The 16,309-nt window shown below is 55.8% G+C and overlaps 1 protein-coding gene across 7 annotated transcripts in view, besides 3 other annotated features; it reads left to right on the top strand.

Moving 5' to 3' along the window:
- Positions 1-16,309, top strand: part of TRIM29 (tripartite motif containing 29) — a 26,828-nt gene extending 10,519 nt beyond the window's left edge. For 3 of the 7 annotated variants that reach the window (XM_047426688.1, XM_011542733.2, XM_017017453.2), the window contains exons 3-10: positions 26-259; positions 1,706-1,904; positions 4,540-4,641; positions 6,930-7,022; positions 9,274-9,372; positions 10,535-10,636; positions 12,181-12,257; positions 15,119-16,309. In XM_047426688.1, coding sequence (XP_047282644.1) covers positions 26-259; positions 1,706-1,904; positions 4,540-4,641; positions 6,930-7,022; positions 9,274-9,372; positions 10,535-10,636; positions 12,181-12,257; positions 15,119-15,181 — 969 coding nt within the window. In that variant the 3' untranslated portion in view covers positions 15,182-16,309. The remainder of the gene's footprint in view (positions 1-25; positions 260-1,705; positions 1,905-4,539; positions 4,642-6,929; positions 7,023-9,273; positions 9,373-10,534; positions 10,637-12,180; positions 12,258-15,118) is intronic. The other 4 variants (NM_012101.4, XM_005271490.2, NM_001330382.2 and 1 more) reach the window with 2 other exon arrangements.
- Positions 1,792-2,991: an enhancer, noted in NCBI's record as "CDK7 strongly-dependent group 2 enhancer chr11:119995312-119996511 (GRCh37/hg19 assembly coordinates)". NCBI's record gives its function as "activates an origin of replication core promoter dependent on BRD2, BRD4, P300/CBP, MED14 and CDK7 cofactors, with strong dependence on CDK7, by STARR-seq in HCT116 cells {active_cell/tissue: HCT116}" and the evidence as "EXISTENCE:reporter gene assay evidence [ECO:0000049][PMID:35650434]".
- Positions 2,360-2,654: an enhancer, noted in NCBI's record as "tiled region #11711; HepG2 Activating DNase matched - State 22:ReprW, and K562 Activating DNase unmatched - State 8:EnhW". NCBI's record gives its function as "activates a minimal TATA promoter and a strong SV40 promoter by Sharpr-MPRA in HepG2 and K562 cells {active_cell/tissue: HepG2 | K562}" and the evidence as "EXISTENCE:reporter gene assay evidence [ECO:0000049][PMID:27701403]".
- Positions 3,413-3,920: an enhancer, noted in NCBI's record as "H3K4me1 hESC enhancer chr11:119994383-119994890 (GRCh37/hg19 assembly coordinates)". NCBI's record gives its function as "activates a minimal SCP1, AML or CMV promoter by ChIP-STARR-seq in primed H9 embryonic stem cells {active_cell/tissue: H9 hESC(primed)}" and the evidence as "EXISTENCE:reporter gene assay evidence [ECO:0000049][PMID:30033119]".

Genomic DNA, 16,309 nt, shown 5'->3' with positions numbered 1-16,309 from the left:
CTCTTCCCTGACTCTGGACCTCCAGAGCTTCACCACCAATGAGAAGGCCATCCTGGAGCAGAACTTCCGGGACCTGGTGCGGGACCTGGAGAAGCAAAAGGAGGAAGTGAGGGCTGCGCTGGAGCAGCGGGAGCAGGATGCTGTGGACCAAGTGAAGGTGATCATGGATGCTCTGGATGAGAGAGCCAAGGTGCTGCATGAGGACAAGCAGACCCGGGAGCAGCTGCATAGCATCAGCGACTCTGTGTTGTTTCTGCAGGTAACAAGCCACTCCTCTGTCACTCAAGCCCTCGATTTCACAATCCACTTTTTGAGACCCCCCTCCAACATCCATCCATCCACCTATCCACTTATCCACCTATTCGTCTATCTGTTCATCCACCATCCAGCCATCCAACCATCCATCCATTCATCCATCTATCCAAGCGCCATTCTCTCTGTTTAATTTTTTAAATCCAATCCATTTCTTTACCTACTCTCAAGATGGCAAACAAATATCACCTTTTACCAACTTCAATTGATATGTGCTAGCAGTGCTCTGGGCTCAGTAGGAAAGAGTTGTGAGATCAGTGAATCGGGTAGAGGGGGAGTGGTGTAGGAGTGCTGCATATTTGTTATCTTGGATCTAGTCCGTTTGTCTATTCATCCATTCATCCTTCCATCTGCTAGAGTGTTTTAGATACTACTGCATGCCCAGTACTCTATTAGGTGCTGTGGCGAATAGAGAAGTACAAGACATGGTTTCTGCCTCCAAGCAACTGCAATCCAGCTGGGAAGATAAGACATGTACAATTAAAGAACAATATAGAAAAGTGTGTAATTAAATGATAAAGCATATGGCTCAGGAGATAAGTGCCTGTAGAAGCTCAGAGAAGGGCAGGTGGGCTGGAGGAAGCTAAGACAGCTTTGTGGAGGAGGTGGAGTTTGAACTGGGTCTTGGAGGCCGGTTAGGATTTGAGAGGGAGGACAGAGTCTTCGGTGAGGAGTAAGGGAAATGAGAAGTGCAAAGGCAGCACTGAGCATGGCGTGTAAAAGTTGAAATACCACTGTGGGCTGGGCATGGTGGCTCACGCCTGTAATCCCAGCACTTTGGGAGGCCAAGGTAGGTGGATCACCTGAGATCAGGAGTTCAAGACCAGCCTGGCCAACATGATGAAACCCCATCTCTACTAAAAATACAAAAAAAAATTAGCTAGGCATGGTGTCACACACCTGTAATCCCAGCTACTTGAGAGGCTGAGGCAGGAGAATTGCTTGAACCCAAAAGACGGAGGTTGCAGTGAGCTGAGATTCAGCCTGGGTAACAGAGTGAGACTCGCCTCAAAAAAAAAAAAAAGAAAGAAAGAAATACCACCATGGCTGACCCCAAATTCTATAGTAATTCCTTGCATTTCTTTAGTGTGTTCACTCCCAGTCTTTGCAGTTTGTGTCCCTCTCATAAACCCTATGAGGTAAACAGATGCACCCACTTTAGAGGTGGGAGTCGTGGAGTCACACATCTGAACGCTAGTGCCATCAGGGATGTTAGCATCCAGTGGCTTTTAGTTGAACCTTTTCATGTTACAGAAGAAACAAACATCCAGTGAGGAAGAGTGGGGCTTGCAGCGCTGAGACCCCCAGCTGCACTGTGAGAGCCCCTGGCAGAGAAGCGTCCTCATAGCTCATGAAGACCCAGGCAGTTAATGGTTCTTTCCTTTCTTGGTAGGAATTTGGTGCATTGATGAGCAATTACTCTCTCCCCCCACCCCTGCCCACCTATCATGTCCTGCTGGAGGGGGAGGGCCTGGGACAGTCACTAGGCAACTTCAAGGACGACCTGCTCAATGTATGCATGCGCCACGTTGAGAAGATGTGCAAGGCGGACCTGAGCCGTAACTTCATTGAGAGGAACCACATGGAGAACGGTAGGTCCCCTCTCGTGGCTGGGCCCCAAGGCCATAGACCTTTCTCTCCCAAATCAATTCCTGCTGCCTGACATGGGCTGGCCTCCAGTGAGCTTCTTCTCATTGTTCCCACCCACCCACCCACCCTTCCTCAGGCCGTTTGGACTAGGATACAGGGATTCTAACCCTCCTCCTCCTTTGAACTTGCTGCCAAAGTTATGCAACTATAGGAAGAGACCTCCAGAGCAGGGACATCCTGGGCACTGGCTCCACAAATGCCTCCTCTCTGTGGGTTGTCCATCAAACTCAGAGACTGGTTTCGTTCAGATCTACATCTAATTGCCGGGCCCAGCCCAGCAGCTGTGTGGATGCTGCCACTAGTATGGGCCAGATTCCAAACTGGTGGCTTTGCAGACTCTAGCAGACGTGACCTAGAACTGCAGCCATGCCTGGAGGGAGGACTTGCCTGTCATCATGGCCATGCTGAGCAGTGCTGAGCCCAGAGGCTGGACTTGGCCTGTTGAGCTGGGCTGGGGACGGTGGGACACAGTGTCTCTGTGACTCACCAGCTCCCTTGAAGTCAGCTCTTCTTCTGAGTCATGCTGTCCCCTCAGAGGTCAACTGAATCATCTCACAGAAAACCTCTGAACCTGAGAAACAACATCGTCAAGTCCTTTTCCACCCAGTCCCTTTAGGGCCTGAAGCCTGGGCACTTTCCCCAAGGCCCCACCCGGTGTCCCAGGCGTTGCACGGGGCCTTGAGAGTACAGCCTTGTTAATGACTGCTAGACGTGAATACCCCAAAGGAAAGGACCCCTGATTGCTCTCCAGACACAGCATATGATTCTTTGGGGGAGGAGAAGGGGGTGAGGGGGATAAAAGTGTGCAGAAGGGTTGGGGTTCAGGAGGCCATTTGTGCACCTTGGCGATGGCAATATCACATGGTGTCCCTGTGAAATGTGGGGGACATTCAATCACACACAAGGACAGATAAGCCATTTCAGCAAGACAATCATTTGGCTTCAAACGGCACTCAGATCCCGAAATCCTCCTTCTAATGACAATAGTGATGATGCTAATGGTGATGGTGACAGCTGACAATGATTGAGTGCTCGCTCGATGCCGGGCATTTCACTGAGCTTCTCACGCACATTACCTTATTTTCCCTGTGGGGTGTACTGCATTTTACAGGCGAGAAGGCTGAGGCTCAGAGAAGCATCCTTTCAAAGGGCGCACTGCTCGGTAGGGGGTACGGCGGGGTTGAACACTCTGCTGTTCAGTCTCCCATGCCCTCTCATCTGAGAAGCTGCGGCTGGCGGTGGCTGCAGAAGTGGGGTTGAGGAGTGTGATAATCATCGTCCCTGGGGTACAAACTCGGCAGGGCAGCCCCTCCGGTGAGGTCCGGCCAGGCCTGGGGGATGGCCTAGACTGGGGTGGGGTGAGCCTTGCAGAAACTGTTCAGGCTCCTGGCCGCTCACTGTCCCATTTCTAGGTCACAATGCTGGCCACGGCCTCTGTACAGGTGTGGCCCTGCGTCCTGTACGAGGTGTGTGGCGAGGTGGCAAGCAGGAGCAGGGATGGGCACTGCTGATTCAGTAGCCCACACCTGTGCCTGGGGCCGTGGGGGCGGCTCCTCTGCCTCTGTGTTGTTTTTTCGTGTGGCTGCTGGGAGTGTGTCTGCTCTAGGAGGTGGTGGCCGGTGAGTCAGACAGTGGAGTGACCATCCACTCCTCCCCGATGCTAGCCTGCCCACCAGACCAGGGACTCGTCCACACCCTCAAAGGCCCCTGCGCTAAGAGACACCAGGCCACTTCATCCTGGACTCTGTGGGGCACAGGGCTGGGCTAACACCTAGGAGGGCATTTGTTTATTCTTTGAGTATCTGCTGTGCACCAGGACACTGATAGGCGCAGGTGATGAAGATGAAGAATGAGGGTCTCAGGCACATTTCTCCTCTTGCTCAGGAGAGAGAGAGGGAAGGACAGGGAAAGTAGAAGACGGGGAAGTCGAAAGAGAAAGGAATGGGGTGGAGGTGGCTGAGGGAAGTCAAGTGTCGAGCAGCAGATCTGTTTGAGTTAGGGGGTCTGCAGTTGAGTGGCCCCTGCCATAGCAGCTCACTCCACTGCCTGGATCCCTGGGCCATGGAGGCCAACACTGGGACCTCATCCCCTCACCTTAGGCTGCCAGCAGTGGCTGGGACTGAACCCGGAAGTAGCGAGCCAGAGCTCAATCCCCAACTCTGCCCTTATCGGCATGTGACATTGGGCAAGCTGCTTCTCTTACTTCCTGAGTCTCAATTTCCTTATCTGTCTCAGGGGGATACAACCACAATTGATGTATGGATCAAATAAGAAATGGGCATTAATAGCACCTTGTAAAGGTGAAGTGCTAGGAAGTGTTGTGCACACAATCGTATTTACAAGGGCTTAGTTCAAGAGGGTGGATGGCTCTTTGCAGACACCTTCTCCACCAAGAGCTCAGGAACCGAGTGAATGCTGGGCAGGGCGTCATATTCTCTGAGAGGTTGGGGAAACTTGGATCTGCCTGGGAGATAGGGGAAGGGCTATGGGGTGACTCATCTGAGCCCCAAAAGTCCCCAGTGGCTGGCTCCTCCTTCCCACCTGGCTCCTCTGCTGACCCGACCCTCTGCTTCCTAGGTGGTGACCATCGCTATGTGAACAACTACACGAACAGCTTCGGGGGTGAGTGGAGTGCACCGGACACCATGAAGAGATACTCCATGTACCTGACACCCAAAGGTAAGAGGGAGCCCCTCACCCCAGACCTAGTGTCTCTCCTGCTGCCCAGGGGCCCCCAAAGTCCGTGCAGTGACTCTCAGCCAGGTTCCTTCTGAGTGGGGGTGATGGCATGTCCAGTTTGCCTGGGAAAGTCCTGGCATCTACGTGTTGTCCTGATGTGATGATGAACAGGTCTGTGTTAGCTCTCAGAAGTGTCCTGGTTCGAATGAGAAGTTACCTGGTGCCAGCTCCTCAGAGGCATTCCTCCCGGGCCACACAGGCAGCACCTCTTTGCCCTCCTTGCCTTCTCACTTCCAGCCCACACCTCTGCTTCTCTTTCCTTCCGGAGGTCTCCTGGGCTCCCTTCTGCCAGGCCGGTGCTGTGTTTTGCTTTGGCTCAGGTTTTGTAGGGGCTGAGCCCTGTGAGATGGCTGCCGACCCCAGGACCATTCTGCTCCCCTAGGCAGGGAGAGTGGTCCCTCCTCTTCTGAGTTTCCTGGCTCTGCACCCTGGCCCCCTTGGCCCTCCCTCTCAGGCCCTGGACAGTCCCAGCCTGCAAGGTGCCGGCCTAGCACAGACCAGTGCCTGCCTGTCCTTGCCCTGTGGTGGCCTCTCACATTCTTGGGCGCCAGCAACAAACCACAGCAATACCCGTTACATAAGGGTGGGTGTGCCAGCCCTCGGACCATGAGGGTGTGTGCCTGTGCATGTGGGAGAGGGAGGCTGGGGGAGGAGGGAGGCCTGGGTAAGGCACAGGGGCTGGGGAGGGGGAAGCCTCCGGGAGCTAATCAGTAATTCACACACGTCTTTCACACACACACACACACACACACACACACACACTCACACACACAATGGGAGAGGCTTGGGGGATTTGGAGAGATGAGCTCAACAGAAAAGCACCTGTGCCGCCCCACCCAGTTTGAAAACAACCCCTGGGCTTCTTGGTTGTTGGGCTTTCCCTCCTCTGACATTCCTGGTGTGGGCCAGGCCCCAGCCGGCCAGCCTGCCTCCTCCCTGCCTGGGGTGCTGTGCCTTTGGGCAAGTTCTGGGAGTGCCGGCCCCAGCACCCCTCTCCTCAGAACCCCTACCTGGCCTCGCCCTGGCCCTGTCCCTCCTGTCTCTCCCTTCCATCCATGGACCAGGCCCTGGGGTGCCATCGAGTGCCCTGACAGGCTCCTGCGGGTCTCTCCTGCTCTGTAGGAGACTGAGGGCCCAGTGTGAGCCTCCTGCAGGTTGTGGGAGGGGGTGGAGGGAACAGCAGCACCCACTATGATGCCACCCCGAGGGCCTAGGGCCTGGGGCATCTTGGGCAGGCCTCAGTACCTGTATCTGAAGAGAGGGGAGGTTGTGCTCACATGCTGGGAGACTTCCCAGCTCTGCACTGTGAGTCAGTCTATGATGTCTGTGATGGAAGAAACAGGTTCCCCCGGCATCCCTGCCCAAGCACTGTGGGTAGCCTGTGCCGAGGACAGGAGGGACAGGAAATCTGCCCTCTGGGAGCTCCCAGGCTCAGGGTGGAGTTGGGGGGAGAACAGGAAGCAATCACCAAGGAGATGAAAGAAACAAGGCCCCTAAAGGGACTGGGTCCTGAGTCTGGGAGCTTTGAGGTCAGTGGGATTGACAGTGGCTGTGACTCCTTCCCTGGAGGGGTGAATTTCCAGGAACCTGTGCTCAGTAGAGGGAGCATGACTGCGAAGGGCAGAGGGCATCAGGGAACACAGGCACAAAGGCTTACAGGAAGGACTGGCAGGGCCGGAAATGGGGGTGTGGTGTCATCTGAGGGTCAGGTGGGGAAGGACAGAGGTAACAGAGGGCTAGAATACACATGGGGAGCTCATTGTTTTCAGCTGGGTATCGGTGGTGGTATCAGTCCCCACTGCTTCCTCACAAGGCTGTTGTGAGAGCCCAGGTGTGCGGGAAGGAAAGCACTTGTGAAGTGAGGCTCTGATCTCCCGGGAAGCAGCAGCCTGGGTGGGCCCCTGGGAGGTGTTTCTGGCTCATTAGGCCACTTCCAGGAGGCCCCACCCTCACGTGGCTGAGAGCCTACTGCTTCTGCCCTCGTGGTTGCCATGGCCTCTCCAAGTTTATGCTGATGCTCTCTGCACGGTTACTAACAGAGTCCTTCTACTCTCAAAAGCATGCCAATTTGGGTGATAAATTAGTTGATTGACTTATGTCAGACCCAAAGGACTTCTCTCAGTGGTGGAATCCAGGTCCTGTGATGGGCACTTGGGCAACTTTTTGGGGGCAAGGAGTCCTGATGAGACAATTTTCTGCAATGACAGCCCCCTTCATCTGCTTCACAGGTGGGGTCCGGACATCATACCAGCCCTCGTCTCCTGGCCGCTTCACCAAGGAGACCACCCAGAAGAATTTCAACAATCTCTATGGCACCAAAGGTAGGTGGTGGCTCAGCTCAAGGGTGCACAGAGTTCATGTGGGGCTGTGCAGGCAGGAGGGGCATAGAGGTGGGTCCAGGGGCACAGGGCTGGGACCCCAGTGTGAGATGAATGTGGGAAGCTAGGATGGGTGGAGGGTCCAGGCATGGGTAGGGAGGGGTCCTACCTACCGAGCTTAAAGTGTGTGTGTGTGTGTGTGTGTGTGTGTGTGTGTGTGTGTGTGTGTGTACATGTGTGGGGGACACCATTAGTTAGGCTGGAGGAAAAACAGCCAGGAATCTCGGCATCCCTGGAGATCCCTGAGTCTGTGTGCTCTTCTGATCCCTGAGGAAGGATCTGGGGAAAACTGGGTCTGAGCAGCCACCTTGGGCTTAAGTGTGGGGAATGCGCCACCCCCCCCACAAGTATGAGGGCACGAGGACCCAAAGAGAATCTCTACTGATTTGAGTACTTCTGCAGTGAAAAGTCGTACAGTGGTTAGTTGTCAACTTGGCTGTGACTGGAAAGGAAGGCACGGCAGGAAATGGGGCTGGCCCTGGAGCTCCAGGTGGTGAGGCAAGCGAGCAGCACCTTAAGACCCAGATGGGATGAAATGGGTGTGGGGATGTGGCTTCCCCAGGGGAAGCTGCTAAGTTCAGGGTCTCCCTCTGCCCAGTGCTCTGAGGGGACCATTTGCTCAAGGGCAGGGCCATGCATTCAATGAGACCTGGTTCTGGGAGACCCTGGTTCTGTCCTGGGGGCTCCTGGTCACATGCCAGCCATGCACAGGGAGGGAGGGGACTGGGTCAGCCCCCACCCTAGACATAGCACTGGAGGACTCTTCAGTGAGGGCAAGACTCATGGAGACTGGAGGGTCAGGGGCACCAGAGCAATGCCTGGGCCTCTACATCCAGAATTGGATTCACAGCCGTGATCAGCGGCACCCCTCCTCCACATATGCAGTAGACCTTGGGCACCTTGAGGACAGAGCTGTGTCTGTCCTGTTCGCTGCTACAGGCCCAGAGCTCAAAAGTAGGAGGGGGTCAGGAAGCAGTTGTTGAGAGAGAGGCTAAAGGCATGAGTGAACAGGAGGGCAAGGTGTCTGGCCTCGCGGAACCCTGGCTGGACGTGCTTACTGAGGCCTTGCTACAGAAGCTGCCTGGGATCCCTGTGGGAGGGCTTTGCACAGGGGCAGGTGGCCAACCCCAGCCATCTGTGACCCCTGAGCCCAAAAGTCAGCCCCCAGCCCTCCCCACAGGCTGCTAAGGAGTGAGCTTGACTAAGGAGGTCACTGATGCTTCAAGCCTGGCAGGTGGGGGTGTGGTGCTGGAGAAGTGTGCGTCACCCATGGGGACTCTGAGCCCCCCACTCCAGTGCCCTCTGAGTGCCCTGGCAGCTTCTCCCACCCCTTTCCCACTGCCTTCTTCTCCTCTGGACTATAGAACATGTCTGCACATAGGCATGTGTTAGCCTATTCAACTTGGCAACTATCAACTGTCTTGTCCCCAAGTTTTAGGATGTGTTTGTATTCATTCGTTCGTTGGTTCATGCATTCTATCCATCAACCATACAATGAGCACCTTCCAGGAACCAGGCTCTGTGCCAGGCACCAGGTGTGATGCAGGGGCCAGACAGGCACATTCCCAGTTCACGTGAGCTCACTGCGGGAGACAGACAATTGAACATGTAATTGCGACCCAGAGGGTAGGGGTTGCAGGACGATGTGGGGATGAAGCTGAAGGCACATGCAGACGTTGGGAGGTGCCATGTAAGCTGACACTTGAAGACCCCACCCATGAATCGCCGAGGGTGGCAAGCAGGAGAAGTGTCCTAGGCAGAGGACAGGGTCTGGGCACATAGCCTGGGGCAGGAGAGAAGATGGAGTGTCTCAGACACTGAGGCTTAGCCTGGTTTGAATGTCCAGTGGTGGAGGGAGGGCAGAGGTGAAGTCAAGAAGTGGGAGATGGTGGGTGGGTGGTGGGGGTTGGGGGAGCAACTCACGACAGAGCTCTGGGCTGCTCTTGGGACTTTGTCCCTTATTCTGAGGACAGTGGCCTTTAGGTAGGGCAGGGACAAGACTATGCTTTATATTTTAGAAAGATAGCTTTGGTGGCAGAAGGATGGGGGTGAGGCGTCACTGGGATCACACAGTGGCATCCTGGCTTAAGTTGTGGCCAGCGGCTAGAGAGTCATAGACCTGGCTGTGTCCTGGTCCTGCCTCCTCTCCCACTCCCAGCTGTGGGGGCCTGACAGCCCTTCTTTGTCCTGCCAGGTAACTACACCTCCCGGGTCTGGGAGTACTCCTCCAGCATTCAGAACTCTGACAATGACCTGCCCGTCGTCCAAGGCAGCTCCTCCTTCTCCCTGAAAGGTGAGCTTGCCCACCCTGGCCCCTGCTTTCCTCCACAGCTGCCTCACACCTCCCAAGCCCTGCTTGGGTCTCTTCGCTGAGCTGCTAGTTCCTCCCTCACCTCGTGGAGGAGAGAGGCCTGGCCTGAGAGCCCGGGAGCTACCGCCATGGTCTTTGCTGAAAATGAGGGCAGGGGTGGGGGCTGGGCCACATCAGCGTTTCCCAGGGCTTGTTTCACCGCTCTCTAGTCTCTAACTACACGCTGCAACAACAGCTCTCAGTGGTCAGGACCGGGGGACATGCCATACCCCCTGCACTCGACCTCTCTGATCCTCAGGATGCTGCTTCTCCTACTGCAGAGTTTATTTAACTCCCAGCGTTGGCTGGCTCTAGGGTCCTGTGGCCATGGGGCACCTGCCAGCATCCTGCAGATCCAATCCTGCAGGCGCCCCTTTGGGAAAGGCAGGACCAGACGACCCTAAGTCCCCCCAAGGCTGATCCTCTTTTCCTGCACTCTGTCCCCCGCCTGCCTGTGGTGCTCCCAGCACTCTGACAAGGCAGAGTGATTGACGCCTCCTGTCCCCTGGGGTTGGGGGCATCCTGAGGGGGCAGGCTTGAACCAGACTCTGGCTATGGGCCCCAGACCCTCATGTATCTCCTGAAAGATCCCAGGGACAGCTCTAATGGCTGTGGTGGGAGTAACCCTGTCTCTCTTCTGGCACCCCAAACATCTGGCCTGGAAGTCAAGATCAGCACATTGGGTGGGCTCAGGAGAGGGAAAGGGGCTATGCAGGGCAGAGAGACCCCTGAACAGTGGTCTCTGAGGCCTCATCACTCAGTTGTCCCTTCCGGCCCAGGGTCCTATACTATACCCAGGACAGGGATTCTTGGAGCTGCCGGCAAGAGGGAGGAGACAGGACTATGGGTGGAGGGTCCCAGCCTGCAGGAGCCCCGGGCATGTCTTAGCTCTGATCCGGGCCTGGGGAGCTCCAGGACTTGCCTTGGCCTGTTTGGCTTCTAGCAGGCGCCTTTCTGCTCTCTGCTCAAGCCTGGCCCACAGAGCACCTGGCAGGGGAGGTGGCCGCTCTCAGGTGTGATTCAGAGCAGCCCCCAGAATGAGGTGTGGGTCCTTTTGGCCCCTCTGGGACCAGCGCTGTGCCACTAATGCCTCTCTCTCTCCCAGCAGGCACTGGGAAAACCCCTTATCAGTTCACCACCTTGGGACAGGCCACTGCAGAGTTTTCCAAACCACTGGGTCGCAGTGGGCTGTCTAAAAATAATCCCGGTATCTGCCCATTTTCCATCCCTCCCCTTTTCTCTCCCACAGCGGGGCAGGTGGGACATGGGGGGCTCTCTGCCACTTCTAGGGTGTGCCGGTCCCTTCTCCCCAGAGCTCCCTGGAGAGGGATGCATGCCCCACCTGCCACCCCAGCATACTCTCTATCTGGACTTCTGCCTGCTGCACAAGGCGGGTGTCTTGGGCCACCCTGACCCCACCCCTGTTTCCATTCTCCCCTCTCTCATGGCTGGCATGGGATTTTCTTTCTGGGAACTGAGAGATGAGGCCTGAATTACCCCTCTTAATCTCCACTCAGGATCCCTGGAACCCCCCTTTCCAAGGCTGCTCCCACCCTCAGATGCAGGAAGAGACCCAGGTTCTTTGCTCTGTCTCCTCCCCCTCCTCCTTGCTCAGTGCCAACCTGGGAAGGGCCAACCCAACTGGCAGCCTGGCGGTGCTCATCATGAGCCTGACCTGCTCATCCTCGCTTAGAGCAGGGCAGGAGAGGGGCTTTCCCGAGACAGACCGCATGCAGCCTCTCACTGGACAGAGATCTGGCCCAGGACAGACCCTGCTTATTTCTTGAGGGCCTCAGCATCCAGGTCATGGCCTGTGTCTTCCCAGGCGTCCCTGCAGGCTGATGGCTGACACTGAGAGTGCCTTCACTGTGCTGTGAACCAGAGCTCCTTTCAGGTCTGTCTGGGCTGAGGCGCAGGGAGTCAAGGCGGCCCCGTCTTAGACTAGCATCTTTGCAACCAAGCTCAGAGAGCGCACCTGCTCCAGGCCTCTTGGGCTTGCCATCCTAACCCTGGGTGGCGGCCACAATGACAGATTCCTGCACCTCTCTAGGCCCTAGTCTCTGGCTAGTGAAACAGGGGAGGGGCCACAAAGCCAGGGAGAAAAAAACATGAATTTGGGTTTTGGATTTCCGGCACTCTGTCCCCCGCCTGCCTGCGGTGCTCCCCAGCACCTGGTTTGCTGCTTATGAGCTGTGCAACTCAGGCAGACTGCTGAGCTCATAGATACGGGGCCAGGCTCAGTGAGGAGACATCTACAAAGTCCCTTCCACAGTGCTTGGCACAAGTGGGGCTCCGTGAATGGGAAGCATCGTCCAAACAGCACAGGGGAGTCCAAGTGAGCGCCTCCTGCCGGGAAACTCTGGCAGGCCATGCTTATGCGTGGCGCTCCTGGGCTCTGGGAAGGGGAGGGCCCGTGGTGTAAACCTCCGGGGTGGGTGAGTGGAAATCCCTGCAGAGCAGTGTGATGCTGCGCTGGATGTGGGGGCAACACTCCCCTGCTGCCTGGTCCAGCCCACCTGGCCGGCTCCTCCTCCTTCTGTCTGCTTTGCTGCCTCCTCCCTTTGGCCAGCCTCCCCAGGATTTTCGGTTGCGGCACCCTGGCTGCTGCACGCGTGTTCAGACGGCTGCATTTGGTAATGGGCTGGATGATGCTTGGTGGTCACTTTGGAGAAGGCAGCTGTGCTGCTCTGGGCCCGGGCACCCCTGACCACCAGCGCTGCTCCCTTTGACCTGAATCTCTTGTCTTCCCAGGCTATCCCTCCCTCATGCGGAGCCAAAGCCCCAAGGCCCAGCCCCAGACTTGGAAATCTGGCAAGCAGACTATGCTGGTAAGGGAAGTGCTGCCGGGAGGGCCTGGGCACATCCAGAGACCTGGGCACTGAAGGGGGCTCCCTGGAGGCAATCGGTTCCAGGGCCTGTGGGAGGACTTCTCTGGGCCATGGGGTGGAGGAGAAGGAGGCAGCAGTGGCCTGAATACCTGTACACAGCAGAGGGTAGTAGAGACCCAGGGCTAATGGGCAGGGGACTAGCTAAGCATACACTCTCTGGACCTCAGTTTTCTGATCTATAAAATGGGCAGCCTTGATTTTTTTATTTGGCAAATGCTTGTTGGATGCCTATGCTAGTGGAATGGCAGCTTGGGTTCTGCCAGCTCTGGGATTGTAAAACAGCCCAGTGGGAGGACAGGCCTCCTCCTAGAGATGGGTCCCACCTCCCTGGGGGCAGTTCTCCAGTTCTGACAGCATAGAGGCCATTGGGGTGATAATGTGGGGGTGGGAGAGACTGGAAAGTCGGGAATAGATATATTTAGGGTCAATATCTAATGACCCGAGGCCAGGCATATCAGAAGAGCAGCATGACAGGGAAGCATGGCTTTGGGGTCCAGGCCACCTGCTGACGGTGGGGTCCTGGATGAATTAGATACCCTCTCTGAGACTCTTCCTTGCTTTTTATTATGTGGGGACTGAGATGATCCCCAGTGCCCGTTAGATCTGACATATCTGACCCTGACTGAGACCTCAGTGATCGGGGACTGTAGTTCACATGCAGAGCCCCCATGTGCCTGAATGCCTTGCTCCTGAAGGTCCATTCTAGGCCCTGCTACAGGAGTCGGCCACTGCCGTGGCATGTGGATGGCATCAGGAGCTCTGCTGGAACCAGGGCCGGAGCCCTTGTTTCTTGCTGTCCTTGCAATTGGAGGTCAGAGCAGGAGAGGTGATTTGCCCTGGACCACAAAGAATGGCTGGGGTTGGTTTAATTGGAGAGGATCTTTAATTGCTGGGGATGGGAGCTAAGTGATCGTGTATGTAATTTGGAGCTGGACTCAGGGGCATTGCAACAGCAGGACTGCAGAAAGCAGATATGGGGAGAAAAAAGAAGGTTTCTGTTCTAGACTCAGTCCTTCCCCTCCCTACTACATACTTTTCCACCCTCTCAGAGCCTGGGGCCCTGAAGAGAAGGCTCATCAGCACTTTGAGGCCCCTGGCAGAGCAAGGTTTTGGTGTCCAGCAGGCACCCAGCACTGGGAGAGTGGAGACAGGCGCTGGGCTGCAGAGAAGCTGAGCTGGGAATCAATTTCCCTGGGGGCTGGCCCCAGCTGTCTCATTGACTTGCTGTGTGACTTTGCATGAGGAAAAATGATTCCTTTGTGCCTCAGTTTTCCCATCCATAATTAGGATGATTTTGCAGCTCTTCCACCTGCTGTATGTGCTGTGACCTCAAGCCAGGGAGGGGATGGGAGGGTGAAGGTAGCATTTTGCCCTGATGCCCACCTACCACTCCAGGCTTTTAACCAGACAATGCCATTCATTGACCTGCAACCCATATTATTGACCCAATCTTCCTCAAAGAAAGGCTTCAGCCATTTCCAAATCTGTTCACTTTGCCCTATGAATTGCTTGGGGTCCAGGCTGGCCCCTGGGGGTCAGGAGACCTGGTCCAGGCTCTGCTTTGCCAGTAAGTAGCTGTTCTTACCCCTCCCTGGGTCTCAGTTTCTTCCTTTGTTTAATAGGTGGTTTAAGCAAGGTCTGAGCATCCCTCAAGTCCTGCTGTGGACCACACAAAGGCAAGGAGCTGACCAGGAGGTGTCAGTTCCCTGAGAGACAGGGCCAAAGGCAGTGTACCCTTGAGGTGTGTGTGTGAGGGGCAAATGATGTCTCCTGTATTGGGATCTGCAGGGCATGGGAGTGGGCTCAGTCTCTGACCCAGCTCAGGGACAAATCCTCTTCCTGAGACCCCCGGGGGCTGATGGTGCTTGCGTGGGTGAGCAGCAGCTAAGCTGTGCTCTTCCACTCCATCCTGGAGGGCTGCCTCCTCAGGGCCCTGATGAAGTTATCTGGGCAGGGTGGGGCATGCTGATTTCATGAAATTACTGGGAGATACAATACATGGAGAAGGCTGGGAGAGCTGTCACTGGGCTCTCTCTCCAGAGATGCTCCCTGTACCAATGGCTGGGGGAAGAGGAACAGGACGAGAGAGGCAAAGGGCTGTGGGGAGCCTGGGACCGTGTTGGACTGGGGCAGTTCTTTACCCTCTCTGCACCCTTTCTGTAAGGGAAATTTATGCAGAGAGAGGCAAAGAAAATCCTGGAAGCCCTCACCATAAGAGAAGTGATGCCGAGAACTGGCAGCTGGGGGTGTGGGTTTTGGAGGCAGCCTGCTGGGGCTTGGATTCTGGCTCCTTGCTTACCAGCTGAGTGACCTTGGGCAAGTTGCCTAGCCTCTCTGTGCCTTGGTTTGCTCAACTATAAATTGAATATGATAATAGTAATCTATTTAATTGGGTGGTTGTAAAAATTAAATGAGTGCATCCACATACAGCCCTCGACACAGTGCTGTGAAGTTCTGTGGAGTAGAAAGTGCTATATAAATAGTAGCTGTGGTGGCGCTGGAGGAACCTCCTTGAGCTGTGGAGAGAAATTTCGACCAGTGTAATGCGGGGGCTGAGGTTCAAGCTCACCCACTAACTATGGGAATGGACTCCAATTAGGATTCCAATCTGGAGATCCTGACATTAGGGACCAGCCCCTGATCACAGGGTAGGTAAATCTTGCAGATCAGGCCAAAAAGGCCCCTAGAATTGTCGGGTCTTGGATCACTGCTGCCTCCTGAGGCAGGTTAGGGTAGGGTGGGTCTAGCTAGCAGGCTCATCTGTCGTCTGGCCTCGCTGACCACTCTTGTTTCCCCCACAGTCTCACTACCGGCCATTCTACGTCAACAAAGGCAACGGGATTGGGTCCAACGAAGCCCCATGAGCTCCTGGCGGAAGGAACGAGGCGCCACACCCCTGCTCTTCCTCCTGACCCTGCTGCTCTTGCCTTCTAAGCTACTGTGCTTGTCTGGGTGGGAGGGAGCCTGGTCCTGCACCTGCCCTCTGCAGCCCTCTGCCAGCCTCTTGGGGGCAGTTCCGGCCTCTCCGACTTCCCCACTGGCCACACTCCATTCAGACTCCTTTCCTGCCTTGTGACCTCAGATGGTCACCATCATTCCTGTGCTCAGAGGCCAACCCATCACAGGGGTGAGATAGGTTGGGGCCTGCCCTAACCCGCCAGCCTCCTCCTCTCGGGCTGGATCTGGGGGCTAGCAGTGAGTACCCGCATGGTATCAGCCTGCCTCTCCCGCCCACGCCCTGCTGTCTCCAGGCCTATAGACGTTTCTCTCCAAGGCCCTATCCCCCAATGTTGTCAGCAGATGCCTGGACAGCACAGCCACCCATCTCCCATTCACATGGCCCACCTCCTGCTTCCCAGAGGACTGGCCCTACGTGCTCTCTCTCGTCCTACCTATCAATGCCCAGCATGGCAGAACCTGCAGCCCTTGGCCACTGCAGATGGAAACCTCTCAGTGTCTTGACATCACCCTACCCAGGCGGTGGGTCTCCACCACAGCCACTTTGAGTCTGTGGTCCCTGGAGGGTGGCTTCTCCTGACTGGCAGGATGACCTTAGCCAAGATATTCCTCTGTTCCCTCTGCTGAGATAAAGAATTCCCTTAACATGATATAATCCACCCATGCAAATAGCTACTGGCCCAGCTACCATTTACCATTTGCCTACAGAATTTCATTCAGTCTACACTTTGGCATTCTCTCTGGCGATGGAGTGTGGCTGGGCTGACCGCAAAAGGTGCCTTACACACTGCCCCCACCCTCAGCCGTTGCCCCATCAGAGGCTGCCTCCTCCTTCTGATTACCCCCCATGTTGCATATCAGGGTGCTCAAGGATTGGAGAGGAGACAAAACCAGGAGCAGCACAGTGGGGACATCTCCCGTCTCAACAGCCCCAGGCCTATGGGGGCTCTGGAAGGATGGGCCAGCTTGCAGGGGTTGGGGAGGGAGACATCCAGCTTGGGCTTTCCCCTTTGGAATAAACCATTGGTCTGTCA

Source organism: Homo sapiens, chromosome 11, assembly GCF_000001405.40.
Source record: "Homo sapiens chromosome 11, GRCh38.p14 Primary Assembly".
Taxonomy (NCBI): domain Eukaryota; kingdom Metazoa; phylum Chordata; class Mammalia; order Primates; family Hominidae; genus Homo; species Homo sapiens.
Note: the sequence above shows the minus strand (reverse complement) of the source record. Positions and strands in the feature narration are given on the sequence as shown.